Raw genomic sequence first — 13,136 nt, 5'->3', positions numbered from 1 at the left:
AACATGGCTAAACTGCCCCCCAACAAAAAATAAAAAATCCGGGGATGGTGGCATGTGTCTGAAGTCACAGCTACTCGGGAGGCTGAGGTGGGAGGATGGCTTGAGCTCGGGAGGTCAAGGCTGCAGTGAGCAGTGATTACACCACAGCAAGAGCCGGCATCTAAAAAAAATTTAGTGCGGTGAGCACTAAATTTAGTGGCTCACGCCTGTAATCCCAACACTTTGGGGGGGGCCAAGGTGGGCGGATCATGAGGTCAGGAGTTCGAGACCAGCCTGACCAACCTGGTGAAAGCCCATCTCTACTAAAAATACAAAAATTAGCTGGGTGTGGTGGTGGGCGCCTGTAGTGATCCCAGCTACTCAGGAGGCTGAGTCAGGAGAATCGCTTGAACACGGGAGGCAGAGGTTGCAGTGAGCCGAGATCGTGCCATTGCACTCCAGCCTGGGTGACAGAGCGAGACTCTGTCTGAAAAAATAAATACATAAAAATAAAAGTAATGTTTTTAAATAATCAAAGGGAGCATTGTTTGGAAGTCAGAATCACATTGCCTGTGGGGGTGAGCAGACCTGTGGAGACTGGGCTTTCCAGGCCAAAGGGCCCTCCCTGACATTGGGGGTGCGAACACGCAGAGCAGGCTGGAGACCTCTCACAGCACTGTGCGGCTTCCGGAAACCGTCCCCTGCCCCAGCCCACCCAGCCCTCTGAGGAAGCGGCCTCTGAGCAGTTTCTTGCAGGATTGATGTCTGAGAAACAGCTCACACCAAGTGCCGTCTGCTCACTCCACCAAGAGTGACACAGGTTCGGCCGCTGAATCACCCTCAGAGCACTGTCCTCCCTCCAAGCCCCCAAGAGAGTGGCATCTTTTTAGAGACAGGGTCCCGCTCTGTCGTCCAGGCTGGAGTGCGGTGGCATGAGCTCTGCTCGCTGCCACCTCCACCCCCCTGGGCTCAGGCGATTCTCCTCCCTCAGCCTCCTGAGTAGCTGGGAACACAGTTGCTACCACTACACCCGGCTAATTGTTGTATTTTTTGTAGAAGCGGGGGGCCTCACTGTGTTGCCCAGGCTGGTCCCAAACTCCTGGGCTCAAGCGATCCTCCCACCCCGGCCTCCCACCGTGCCTGGGATTTATTTCTGGATGACTCGGTGCCCAGTGTTCACATCCCAGAGCCTCAAGCTGACCTTCCAGCCCGGGCCGGCGCTGTCCGCTCCCCACTCCTCTCCCTGGAGCGCTGGCAGCCTCCAGCTGGGCTCTTTCTCTGCCTGCCTGTCCCTGCCTGTCCCTGCACAGATCAGGTGGCGCCACCTGCCGTCCGTCCAGTCCCTCGGCTCTTGCTCCAGTCACAGTCAGGCCCTGGCCGGGCGCCGTGTGCCATGCGCCCTCCAGTGGCTCCCAGGGAACGGGCGCTCTCTCCACGCGCTCCAGCTGCCGTCCCCCTGCCCTGTCTGGGTCAGGCCACCCCCCGCCCACTGGGACCTCAGAAGCACTCGTACCCCTGCTGGCTGCGTGGGTTTCACAGGCGATAAAGCTGAGTGCAGCCTCAAACCCTGAATAGTCATCAAAGTTAGGATCCTACAGACTCCTCCAAGCCTCACCTCATCACCCCTGTGGCCCAGCAGTCCAGAGCCATGGGCCACCCCCTCCCCCGCTTGTTATGCAGCAGGAGCTACCCGATGCACTCTGACCTCAGACACCCTAGGACTTTGCTTAGATTTCACAAGGGACTGAGTCCAGGCAGGAGGGGTGGGGAATTTGGCCAGCGATGGGCCTGCCTCGGGGCATTTGTGAGACCTGCCCGGAGAGACAGCTGGGCGCTAGGCTGAGCTGTCCAAGTCCCACTGCCCTCTGAAGCCTGGTGAGCCCACCCAGCCCTCCAGTGTCTTACCTCCTTCCCCCTCAGCATCCAAGGTGGGAAGAAGACCCCCGCTCTGAGGGAGCCCCAGCAATCACGGGGAGGGCCCAGGTCCCAGAGTGAGGCCGGCTTCCAGCCTCTGGGTTCCAGAAGTTTCCTAATGGGGGCTGCCCACTCCGAGGGAGGAGCTTCAGGACATCTGAACCAGGACCCCCGCACTGGACAAGGCCCCAGGCCCCTACATGTGTGTTCCCTGTGGGTGTGGTTGAGCGGTGGCGTGGCAGCTCCCTTGGGTCACTTGGGTTCCATTAAACGGCGTCTCCGTGGGTAAAGCTTGGTCTCCTCCTAAGCCCGGCCAGCCCGGCACTCAGATGGCCTCACCCTCCGAGCTTACTGTGGGGGGGCCTCACCCTCCGAGCTTGCTGCGGGAGGTTTGCAGATGGCTCGGGGACTGTGTGGTTTTGTTTTGCCTTGACTTAGGATGGTAATGGGAGGCACGTGCAGCACGGCTGAGGGCCAGCCTCAGACCCAGAAGCAGATCTGGGGCCAAGAGCAGCCTGCCCACCCCAGGAGGGTCCTTCCCTGGAGACCTAGAGGCGGGGGGGTACAGGGGCCGGGGTCGGCGTCCCTCCTGCTGCTGAGGACAGACGTCCGGGGAGCAGTTCAGCCACGTCGTGAGCCATGGGGTTCGGGGTGTCTGCCTCTCCCATGACATCTGGGCACCATGGGGTGGATGTCCACAGAGGCATCTCCCGAAATCCATGCGTGAGGAAGCTGGGCTCGCGGGCTGCCTGCTGCCTGAGTTCTCTGGGACCCTTGAAAAGGACCCATTGGCAGGTGCGTGGATAAAGCAGGACAAATCCACCACTCCCCACTCACTCGAGGTCCCCAGAGCCCTCACACCCACAGACCAGGAAGGAGAAGGACTGGGGAGGGACTCGGAGTGGGTGTTTAACGCAAGCAGGGCTTCAGCCCGGGAAGATGAGGAGGCTCTGGAGGTGACAGTGGTGGCCGTGAATGTGCCTGTGCCCCTGAACTGTGCACTTCAACATGGCTGATGGTGAATTTTCTCTACGTGTATTTTATCACCATTTTTAAAAATAGCAACAAAGAAACACTTGGAAATGAGGCGTAGACAGTGGCCTGTCCCATCCGTGCCAAGCCCCGGCATTTCCCAGCAAGCCCCCGGGACGTGCCTGTGCACCTGGCCGGCAGCCTGAGTGCAGCTGTGAGAAACGGGCACCCAGGTCTGCCCGGTCGAGAAGGTGGCACCTCCGGGGTTCGGGTCTCACTCGGCCCCCCCCTTCCCTCCTGCCCGCCCCACACCCCTGCCCACGCCCATGGGCATGAGTTAAAGGAGATTTGATACCTGCTTACTCTGTTTTCACTAAGCTAGGCTTGTTTACACTTGAGGATGAGGCATTTGGACCGCCTAACTTGGGGGGCCCTGGCTGTACCCCGTGGAGGAGCCCTGTCATCTCGCTGGGTGAGATGGGGTGAGAGGTCGCGTGAGTCGGGCGAGCGGGGTCAGGGTTGGGGTTGGGGTTATGTTTATTGTCTTAGTGCTTTGAGGGGAAGCTCAGCCGTCACTCATCACCCTGTACTTGGTGTCCCTCATGTCGGCTGGGCCTCCATGAAGCGGGGCGGGACAGGGTCAGCGTTTCCTCCCCACGTGGGCCTCGGGCTCCCCTGGGCCCAAGGAGATGAATACCCCAGGCCAATGTAAGGCGGGGGCCCGAGGGTCCCCTGCAGGGCCGGGAGGGCGGGGCCTGAGTCCTTCACCCCACCCAGGAGGCCGACTAAGTTGGGGGCACAAGGGTCCCCTGTAGGGTTGGGAGGGCTGGGCCTGAGTCCTCCACCCCACCCGGGAGCCCTGACAACAGCTGGGAGGGATTTTCCACAGCCCCTGCCCTGGAATGTTCCGCACCCTCCAGAGCTCCAGAGGGGCTCACCAGTCACACTGGGCGGGGCGTCGCGTGGCCCCACCTGGCGCCAGGACCCCGTTCTTTCTGCCCTTCAAGTTTTCAGTGTCATATTTCAAATGTCTGAGGGGAGAATAGTGAAGCCAGCACTCGCTCCCTGCTCTTCCCCAGAAATAGGTGAGCGGACGCAGCCGAGCCTCCATCCCTCCGTCCCCTTCTCGTCCTTGCAGCAGCCTCCGTAGCAGCAGCCCCACCCATGACTTAGGGACCCTGCGGCCCCACCTGGGAGTGTGAGGCCTGCCGTGCACCCGTGTGTCCCGGCCACCACGTCCTGGCCTTGGGGCGCCGCTTCACGTGGCGCAGGTGGGAATGTGCCACGGCTTATCCTCTCTTCTCGGTGAGGGGCCGCCTGCCGCTCACGTGCATGGTCAGCGCTGGGACGGGGGCCAGGGCCGTCTCAGACAGCAGGTGTCCCATCACACCGCCCCCAGCACACGCGCCACTGTCACACTGCCGACCACACCGCCCCCAGCACACGCGCCACTGTCACACTGCCGACCACACCACCCCCAGCACACGCGCCACTGTCACACTGCCGACCACACCGCCCCCAGCACACGCGCCACTGTCACACTGCCGACCACACCACCCCCAGCACACGCGCCACTGTCACACTGCCGACCACACCGCCCCCAGCACACGCGCCACTCACACTGCCGACCACACCGCCCCCAGCACACGCGCCACTCACACTGCCGACCACACCGCCCCCAGCACACGCGCCACTCACACTGCCGACCACACCGCCCCCAGCACACGCGCCACTCACACTGCCGACCACACCGCCCCCAGCACACGCGCCACTCACACTGCCGACCACACCGCCCCCAGCACACGCGCCACTCACACTGCCGACCACGCCACCACCAGCACAGGTGCCACTCACACTGCCGACCACACCGCCACCAGCACACGCGCCACTCACACTGCCGACCACACCGCCCCCAGCACACGTGCCACTGTCACACTGCCGACCACACCGCCCCCAGCACATGTGCCACTGTGTGGCTCGACATTTCCTTCTGTTTGTTTGAGATGGAATCTCGCTCTGTCACCCAGGCTGGAGTGCAGTGGTGCGAACTCGGCTCACTGCAACCTCTGCCTCCCAGTTCAAGCGATTCTCCTGTCTCAGCCTCCTGAGTAGCTGGGATTACAGGCACGTGCCACCATGCTCGGTTAATTTTTTTGTATTTTTAGTAGAGACAGGGTTTCACCATGTTGGGCAGGCTGGTCTCGAACTCCTGACCTCGTGATTCGCCTGCCTCGGCCTCCCAAAGTGCTGGGATTACAGGCATGAGCCACCGCACCGGGTCAGTGTTTCCATTTTTGCCACTGCAGTGCTGCTTGTCTTCAGGGGCTGAGGTGCCCTCCCCCCGCCCCAAGGAAGCCTCTGGCGCCAGTGCCTGTCTCTGAAGGAGAATGTGGGCCTTGCCTCCCTGCACCAGTCATACGCATGGCCCCAGTGGCTTGGCTCAGAGTCTGGCACTGCAGGCCGACTGCCTCCAGGCACAGCTGCAGGAAGTGTTCCAGGAGCGGGAATGGAGTGGGGTCTGCAGGAGTCCCAGGACCTGGGGGGTGCAGGGCTCGCACGCTGAGGACACCCACCTGCGCCTGTCTCTGGCTGGATGCAGCCACCCGTTGTCTCCCTGCAGCCCCAGCTGTAGGTGCTGGGGGGCCCTGGGGGGAGCTAGGTGGGTGGGAGTGCAGCTTCAGGGGTGGGAGAGTGGGCGGGGCCCTGGAGGCGCTCCTGGGGGCTGGCAGGGACTGAGCTGCAGACAGCATCAGAGGGGTGGGGGTCCCACAGGGTCGGGCAGGGGTAGTCCTGGGTGTAACCGGAAGCAGTTGCTGACCCTGTGGGGGTGGGGGTGAGGGTGGGAGTCCTCAGGGCCCTCCCAGAGCAGTCCGAGCTGTGGGGTGGGAGGAGAGAGGGTGGGAGGACCCAGGGCTGGGAGGGGAGTGGTCAGGAGGACCTGGGGGCTGGGGGAGCTCCTAGGGCCTGGGCACCGCACACAGGGCCTGGGCCCTCGGCCTCATGGTAAAAGCCCGGGCGGGCGTGGTGTCCAGGGAGGCCGGACTGACGCCAGGCGGGGGCAGCAGGCGGTACCTCTGCAGGAGGCCGGCAAACAGCAGGAAGAGCTCGGTCCTGGCCAGGCGCTCCCCAACACAGACGCGGCGGCCTGCGGGGGATGTCCAGGCACAGAGTGGGCTGCACCAGGCCTGCTCCTGGAGGGGAGGGGTGGGGACCTCCCCAGGGGAGCACAGGAGCAGCCACCACAGCCGCCTTCAGAACCTGAGATCAGGAGGTGGGTGCAGAGGCGGCAGGCGGAGCTGGGGCCGTCCCACCCCTGGAGCCCTGGAGGTGCCGCCCCACCCCGGCCCCGAGGGCTGCTGACCTGCAGAGAAAGGCAGGAAGGCCTCCCGCTTCACAAAGTGCCCATTCGCGTCCAGGAAATGGCCGGGGTTGAACTGGCCTGGGGTCTGCCACTGTGTCTCATCCAGGAGCACCGAGGTCAGCAGGGGAATCACGGGCGTGCCCTGTGGGGGCAGCCGGGGCACAGAGAGAGGGGCCCCGGGGAAGATGGGATGGGGCCTGGGTTGGGAAGTTTCATTCCAGGATGTAGCTCCTGCCACACCCACCACACCTGGTGTTAGCCCACCTTGCAGGTGAGGCACCCAAACCCAGGGAGGCCACATGACCCCAGGGCACACAGCCAGGGGCCCCAAGGATAGAGAGGACACCCAGGATGCATGGAGAGGGACGCCCCAGGACACACAGAGGGGACCCCCAGGACACACAGAGGGGACCCCCCAGGACACACAGAGGGGACCCCCCCAGGACACACAGAGGGGACCCCCAGGACACACAGGGGACCCCCCCAGGACACACAGGGGATCCCCAGGACACACAGAGGGGACCCCTCAGGACACACAGGGGATCCCCAGGACACACAGAGGGGACCCCCCCAGGATACAGAGGGGACCCCCAGGACACACCGAGGGGATCGCCTAGGACACATGGACAGGGATGCCCACAGGACACACGGAGGGGACCCCAGGACATGCAGGGAGGCGCCAGGTCTGCTGGCCAGGCCAAGTGCTGGGCTGTGGGGTGAGAGGGCTGCCTCCCTCCTGCTCCTGGCTGGACGCCCTTTATTGCCTCCGGTCGGGGAGCGCTGGGCCATCAGGCACCCACCAGACGCTCAGCCGTCCCAGTGCCCCTGGACCCCCGCCGAGGCCTACCCCAGAGGAGATGGAAGGGGCAAGGGAGGCCCAGCCCCACCTTGGGGAGCAGGAAGCCGCCCAGCTGTGTGTCGGCCGCGGTGCAGCGGGGCACGTGCGGCAGGAGCGTGATGAACCGCTGCACCTCGTGGAGCACGGCGCTTGTGTAGGGCAGAGCCTGCTGGTCCTCCAGCCGGGGAGTCCGCCCAGGGCCCAGCACGCGGTCTAGCTCCTCCTGCACCCGGCCTGGGGCAAAGGGTGGGCCGCTTGGGTGGCAGCGCCATCCCTCGTCCCTGGGGGTCCCCCGGGGGCAGAAGGAGCCGTCTCGCCAGGCGCCGGGGTCTCACCCTGCACGTCCGGGTGCCGGCCCATCAGAAGTGCGGCCCACTGCAGCGTGGCCGAGGTCGTCTCCGTCCCGGCCATGACCATGTCCAGGGTGCAGGCCACCGCGTTGGCCTCAGCAAACAGGCCCTCGGGGTCATCCCCCTGCAGAGGCGTGGGGCAGGGCTCGTGGGATGATCTGGGGTCTGTCCCCCACCCCACAGACCCAGCCCAGCCCTGGGCTCCACTATGGATGCCCCGGTGATCTGGGCTCAGCCATCCCTCAGCGTCCCCGAGGCAGGCACTATGGATGCCCCGTTTCACAGACAAGGAGACTGAGGCTCTGAGAGGCCCCCAGCCAGGAGGTAGGGAGCTTGGTGCAGGACCGGTATGGACCCCTCCCCAGCCGTGCTCCCCTGGGGTGTCCCTCAGGACCCCTACAGGCCTTCAAGGAGGTCTTGGGTCCCGACACACCTGTCCCTGCTGGATCAGGGCGTCCACATAGCTGCACACGGGGTCCCCCGGGCACACGTGGGGCCTCCGCGCCTCCAGGAGGGTCCTCAGAATGGCACGGACCTCCTCGATCTTGCGCAGGACGGGCCGGTGCAGCTGGAGCAGGGCCCCGAGCCATGGGTAGACGTTGAACAGCTGGGCAGGAGGCAGGAGGAGCGGAGATAAGGACGCAGCCCCAGGGCTGCACGCTGGGCAGGCGGTGATCGTCCCCAGCGGCTGTGTTCACGCCCAGGGACTCTGGGTGGATGTGCTGGAGGCGGCCACAGAACGGGGGGACCCTTAGCCCTCAAGGGAGGACCAGGAACTGCCAGGAAACCCCCTGTCCGTGTCCCGGAAGGGGACAGCCAGGCAGGTTTGCACAGCAGGACCTCCTTCCATCCTGGAGAGGGAGGAGGGAGGCAGCTGCCACAGTGGAAGTAACCTTGAACCTCCTGTGAGTCATGGAATGGAAGACAGAGCAGACCTCAGACCTTGGAGAGTCAGGGCCGCCACTGAGCCAGCCCACGAGGCTGTATCTGAGGGGTGAGCCTGGCACCAGCGGGTGCTCCGTGACTGCCTGTGGCAGCCCCGCCACACCTCGTGCCACTCGCCTTCCTGGGGCGTCCGCGATCGCCAGTAGTGAGTTCCACGCGGCGTCTCTGTGGTAAGGAGCTGGCACCAGCAGGGAAGGCCAGGGAATGCTCTGCTGCCCTGGGGCTGCCCCGGACCACGCAGTGCCGTGCAGCCTCCATCTTCCAGGTGGGCTCTGGGCCTGCCTGGCTCCACCAGCAGGCAGGGTGGTCTCACCCTGGCTAGGACGGGTGGAAGCTGTGCCCCCTGCTCTCGCTTGTGAACCCACCGCTGCTCACTCACTCCCATCACGGCCCTGCCTCTGGGAAGCCAGGAGGACTAGGACCCGTGGTCTCTGGGTCCAGCCGTGATGCAGGTATCACACCTGAGATGCAGGCTTCGGTAAACGCACATCAAATACCATGAGGACCAAAAAGAGGGGATCTTTACATTTTGAAGCTAAATGAAATACACGAGTTCCAAACATCAGAGGGGTGAACTTTTGTGGTTTTGGGGCACTGTAAAGGGCGTCAGCAGGAAGGTGCCTGGACTGTCAGGGCTTGGGGGGCAGACATGGAGCCCCCCGCAATTCTGGGGAAGCCATGCCTGCCTCCCACCTCCACTCTTGAGCAGATGCATCTGTTACTGATGAGGGCGTGGGGGAGATGGGGATCCCCCATTTCCTGGAGAGCACAGGGGCTGGTTTGAGGCCACATGACCAGCTAACGTCGGATGGGTCCTGATTCAGGCCCTTGCATCTGATTCCTTTTGCAAGGTGGGAGGGCCGAGAAGCTGAGAGGGGACAGCACTGGGGCCCCCGTCCTCCTGCTGCACGCCCATCACTCCAGGCTCCACCCCACCCCAAGGATGGGAGGCAGCTCCTCACCTGCAGGCCAGGGGACCCCAAGAGGACCATGACCTCATCGATGAGACCCAGCAGGGACACAAACACGGGGTCCCGGTAGTCAAATCGGCGGCCGAAGAGGAGCGCGAAGGTGATATTGGAGGGAGCCCAGCCCAGTAGGGCCAGCGGGAAGGGCCGGCCTGCGAGGGAGACGGGCCTCAGGCACGTCCAGGCCCGGGGAGGGGCGTCCCCGGCCCCCTGCTCACCTCTGTAGCCATCCAGCTGCCCAGAGAGGCATTTCAGCTCCTGCAGAATCTTGTCAGCCACCGGCTCCCGGCCCACGCCCAGGCTGTGCAGGGCACGCACCGTGAACTGGCGGGCAGCCCTCCAGCGCGCCCCAGATGAGAAGAAGATGCCTGTAGGCAGATACAGTGCGTGGTGAGCCCAGGTTCCCACCCCAGCCAGCCCCGCCAGGCAAGTGGGCAGGAAGTGAGCAGGCTGACAGGGCAGCGAGACTGGCTGGGCCCTCACCCCCATCCCCACTCCCGTCCCCCTGGGCTGGCCCTGGCCCCTCTTGACTTGGGATGAAAAGAACCCCGCTTGCTGGTTCTGAGCACCTGACCTGCTGTGTGGACACCTGGCCCTTCTCAGCACCAGCCCGGAGGCCCAGCTCCTGCCTGCTCTTCCCCAGGCCACCCTGGGAGCCTCTCCCGCTGCTGGAGCCCCCACCCCTCCTGGGGTCCAGGTGCCCCCACACCCAGTAGGCCCCGTAGCGCCGGCCACACACCGACCTCCACCTCGCTGGATGAGCTGGAAGATGGCGATGGGAGGCCGGTCGGCCAGCTCCTGCCCGGGGCCCGCCAGCGCCTCTTTGACCGCCTCGAACCCCGTCAGCACCACCGTCTTCTGGCGCCCCAGGTGCACGGTGAACACCGGCCCGTAGCGTTCTGAGAGCTGGCAGGGATGGCGGGGGTCACCCGGGCAGCCCTCACCCACAAGACCCCCCTTAGGTCCCCTCAGGCCGGGCCTGTGCTGGGTAGGGGTGGGGACAGAGGGAAAATGGGGGCAGGTGGAGGGGGCACGCCTAGATGCCATAAAGCCAGTGGTGCAGGGTGGAGGGGGCAGCGCCCAGCCTGGAGCCCACAGAGCCCTCTCGCCATCTGGTGCTTGGCATGGCTGTTGTGGGATTTTCTTTTTAGCCAAAATTCCTGGGGGGCTCAAGCCCTGAGTCCAGGCGGCAAGGTCGGGGGCTGGCTGTCTGCTGGGGTGGCACATTCTGAAAGGCCAGAGTCTGCACAGAGTGAGGGCCTGACAGGCTCGGCCCCCAGAGACCCTGATCCGTCTTCGGCTACAGCCCGGCCAGCAGCACCCCAGCCCGCAGTTGGGGGCAGCCGGAGGCAGGGCCCGGGCCTGACTGGTCAGCCCTGTCCCACTGACCCTGCCTGCCTGAGCGAGGACAGAGCGACAGTGCTAGTCAGGCTGCCCCGTGCCGTGTCCCCGTACCCTCTGTCCTCAGCATCCCTGCCCAGGAGGCACAGGTCCTCTTCCCATTTCACAGATGAGGAAACAGAGGCTCAAAAGTGGGAAGTGTTTGCTGTTGAACACCTGAGGGCCGAGGGGGGCTGAGCAGGCAGCCGACAGGCCCAGGCCCTCCTCCCCTCTGCTGTCCCTAAGCCTGGCCTCCTGCGGGCTCTCAGCAGACGCCACCGCCTCCAGGGAGCCCTCCAGACTCCTGCTCCCGCGCCGGGCCCTGGGTGGCACCTCCAGGGCTTCTTCGTACTCAGTGTGTCTGCTTCCCTGTGGGACGGGGTGGCTTTCCCCTCCCAAAAGCAGGGTGGGCCCTCCGGCCTCCTGCGTGCCCCGCTGGGCCCGGCACCATGTGGGAACAGGCAGTGGAAACCGGGCTGGGCTTCCCCAGGAGGGGGGCCAGGACACGGCAGCTGTCCAAGCGGCAAGAGCTGCCCGGGCTCCCTGACTTACCTCCATCAGGGACCGGTCCTGTTGCGACAGACGCAGCAAGTGCAGGTTCCCGACGAGCGGCAGCGGGCGAGGCCCCGGGGGCCACCGGGCAGCTGGGGAGGGGTCTTGGGCGCAGGCGCAGAGCAGCCCCCAGAGCCCCAGGAGGCCCAGGAACAGCAAGAGCAGCAGGGCCATGAGGACGTGGCTGGTGAGGCTCCACTCCCCTCCTGGGCCCCGTCCCCCCCGCACCCTTATAGGCCTCCGCGGGAGGGCGTGCCCGCACCCCACCCACCCCACCACCCCGAGAATGTGGAACGAGCAGTTTGCAGGGCAGCCCCCAGCGGATGGCTTAAAGCTGCAGGCCTGCGTGGAATGTGGGGCTGAGGCCCTGGTGGGGCCGGGGAGGGGAGGGCAGGACGGGGGCCCTCTGGGGTCAGGCATCCATGTCTCCTGGCCAGAGAGAAGGATGTGGCACGTGGACTGTTCTGCCCCTGGTTCTGCTGAACCTGCCAGTCCAGGCCCCTTGGCCTTGGCCACCCCTCAGAACTGGGATTCACAGGGCTTTGGGGCCGAGGCCCTGGCTTGGAGGGGAGCCCCCTGCCTTTCACAGGCTCTGAGTGGGACCCTGTGGAGCTCAGGGTTTGCAGGCCTCTCCCAAACCCCATCCGTGTGCACCCAGCTCTTCTCTGATCAGCTCCCCACGGGGCAAGGGACAGGAGTGAGACCTCAGGGAGGCCCATGAGGGGACTCAAATCCCACAGTCCTCACAGGCCACCACCTGCATCTCCCTGAGGGTGTTCTCGCCCCAGGTAGCAGCCTGCTCCTTTTCGAGGGCTGCCGCCCGGGCAGGGGATGCAACCCTCTGAGCTAGGACAGGAACATGGAAGGGCTGCCGGGTGGCAGGTGGCGGGGTTTACGAGCCCTGTCCATCTGTCTCCTAAACCGCTGTGAGGGGTGGGAGGGCTGCTGGCAGCAGAAGCGGCCGGGCCTGCTTTGCACAGCCTGCCCTGACATGAGGCAGCTGGAGCTGGTGCCAGCAGGCGGGACCCTCCCCACAGCCTGTCTCTGGGGCGTTGCCCATGCCCTGTACGAACCGCAGAGCCGAGGCAGCCTGAGGCCCTCACCCCTCCCGGGTTGGTCCCCCTTGATTAGCTGGGAGGGAAAGCCCCAGGCACAGTTGCACGCCTCCTGTGGTGGGGAGCTCACTACCTCTATCCTGCTGTACAGCCTCAGGGCCAGGGCTGGGCGGCTGCGGCGGGGAGGGAGTGCCTCATACCAGGGCCACTACTGGGTAGGCTGGGGGTCCTACCTGCCTAGCAAAGCTTACTTAATTAATTCAGGGAATACTTTTGATTTTTGTGTGTTTTGTTTTTGAGACAGGGTCTTGCTCTGTTGCCCAGGCTGGATTACCGTGCTGTGAGTACAGGCTCACTGCAGCCTCCACCTCCGGGGCTCAAGCCATCCTCCCACCTCAGCCTCCCAAATAGCTGGGACTACAGGCATGCACCACCCAGCCTAGCTAACTTTATTTATTTATTTATGTAGAAATGGAGGTCCTGCTACGTTGCTCAGGCTGGTCTCACACTCCTGGGTTCAAGCAATCCTCCTGCCTCGACCTCCCAAAGTGTTGGGATTGCAGGTGTAAGCCACTGCACCTGGCCTAATTTTTTAAGTTTTGGGTTTTTGTTGTTTTTGAGACGGAATCTCACTCTGTTGCCAGGCTGGACTACAATGGCGTGATCTCGGCTCACTGCAACCTCCGCCTCCCGGGTTGGAGCGATTCTCCTGCCTCAGCCTCCCGAGTAGCTGGGATTACAGGCACATGCCACCACACCTGGCTACTTTTTGTATCTTTAGTAGAGACGGGGTTTCACCATGTTGGCCAGGACAGTCTCGAT

At 64.2% G+C, this 13,136-nt stretch overlaps 2 protein-coding genes across 8 annotated transcripts in view, besides 3 other annotated features; one reads left to right on the top strand and one right to left on the bottom strand.

Moving 5' to 3' along the window:
* The window catches only part of CHLSN (cholesin), a 160,294-nt gene that overhangs the window by 143,613 nt on the left and 3,545 nt on the right, over positions 1-13,136 (top strand). Inside the window, exons 5-6 of one of the 5 annotated variants that reach the window (NR_188533.1) lie at positions 9,211-9,430; positions 11,269-11,446. The exons of the other annotated variants lie outside the window; for them this stretch is intronic. The gene's annotated coding sequence lies outside the window, so the exon portion shown is untranslated. The remainder of the gene's footprint in view (positions 1-9,210; positions 9,431-11,268; positions 11,447-13,136) is intronic. 5 annotated transcript variants of the gene reach the window in all.
* Positions 1,489-1,578: a silencer, noted in NCBI's record as "silent region_17836". NCBI's record gives its function as "represses an Ori minimal core promoter by ATAC-STARR-seq in GM12878 lymphoblastoid cells {active_cell/tissue: GM12878}" and the evidence as "EXISTENCE:reporter gene assay evidence [ECO:0000049][PMID:35858748]".
* CYP2W1 (cytochrome P450 family 2 subfamily W member 1) lies at positions 5,005-11,464 on the bottom strand. 3 transcript variants are annotated; one of them, XM_011515441.4, is made up of 10 exons: positions 11,260-11,464; positions 10,071-10,233; positions 9,546-9,695; positions 9,322-9,479; positions 7,848-8,021; positions 7,400-7,538; positions 7,114-7,298; positions 6,227-6,368; positions 5,938-6,010; positions 5,005-5,684 (listed from the first exon to the last, which is right to left on the bottom strand). In XM_011515441.4, exons 1-10 carry the CDS (start codon positions 11,431-11,433, stop codon positions 5,615-5,617), a joined length of 1,428 nt encoding a protein of 475 aa, XP_011513743.1. In that variant the 5' UTR covers positions 11,434-11,464; the 3' UTR covers positions 5,005-5,614. The 3 variants fall into 3 exon arrangements, with proteins under 3 accessions (XP_011513743.1, XP_011513742.1, NP_060251.2); XM_011515440.4 differs by having other exon boundaries at positions 5,005-5,520; NM_017781.3 differs by having other exon boundaries at positions 5,005-6,010.
* Positions 5,278-5,878: an enhancer, noted in NCBI's record as "H3K27ac-H3K4me1 hESC enhancer chr7:1028403-1029003 (GRCh37/hg19 assembly coordinates)". NCBI's record gives its function as "activates a minimal SCP1, AML or CMV promoter by ChIP-STARR-seq in primed H9 embryonic stem cells {active_cell/tissue: H9 hESC(primed)}" and the evidence as "EXISTENCE:reporter gene assay evidence [ECO:0000049][PMID:30033119]".
* Positions 6,188-6,257: a silencer, noted in NCBI's record as "silent region_17835". NCBI's record gives its function as "represses an Ori minimal core promoter by ATAC-STARR-seq in GM12878 lymphoblastoid cells {active_cell/tissue: GM12878}" and the evidence as "EXISTENCE:reporter gene assay evidence [ECO:0000049][PMID:35858748]".

Source organism: Homo sapiens, chromosome 7 (genome assembly GCF_000001405.40).
Source record: "Homo sapiens chromosome 7, GRCh38.p14 Primary Assembly".
Classification (NCBI taxonomy): Eukaryota; Metazoa; Chordata; class Mammalia; order Primates; family Hominidae; genus Homo; species Homo sapiens.
The sequence above is the reverse complement of the archived record's forward strand: the minus strand, read 5'-3'. Positions and strand labels throughout refer to the sequence as shown.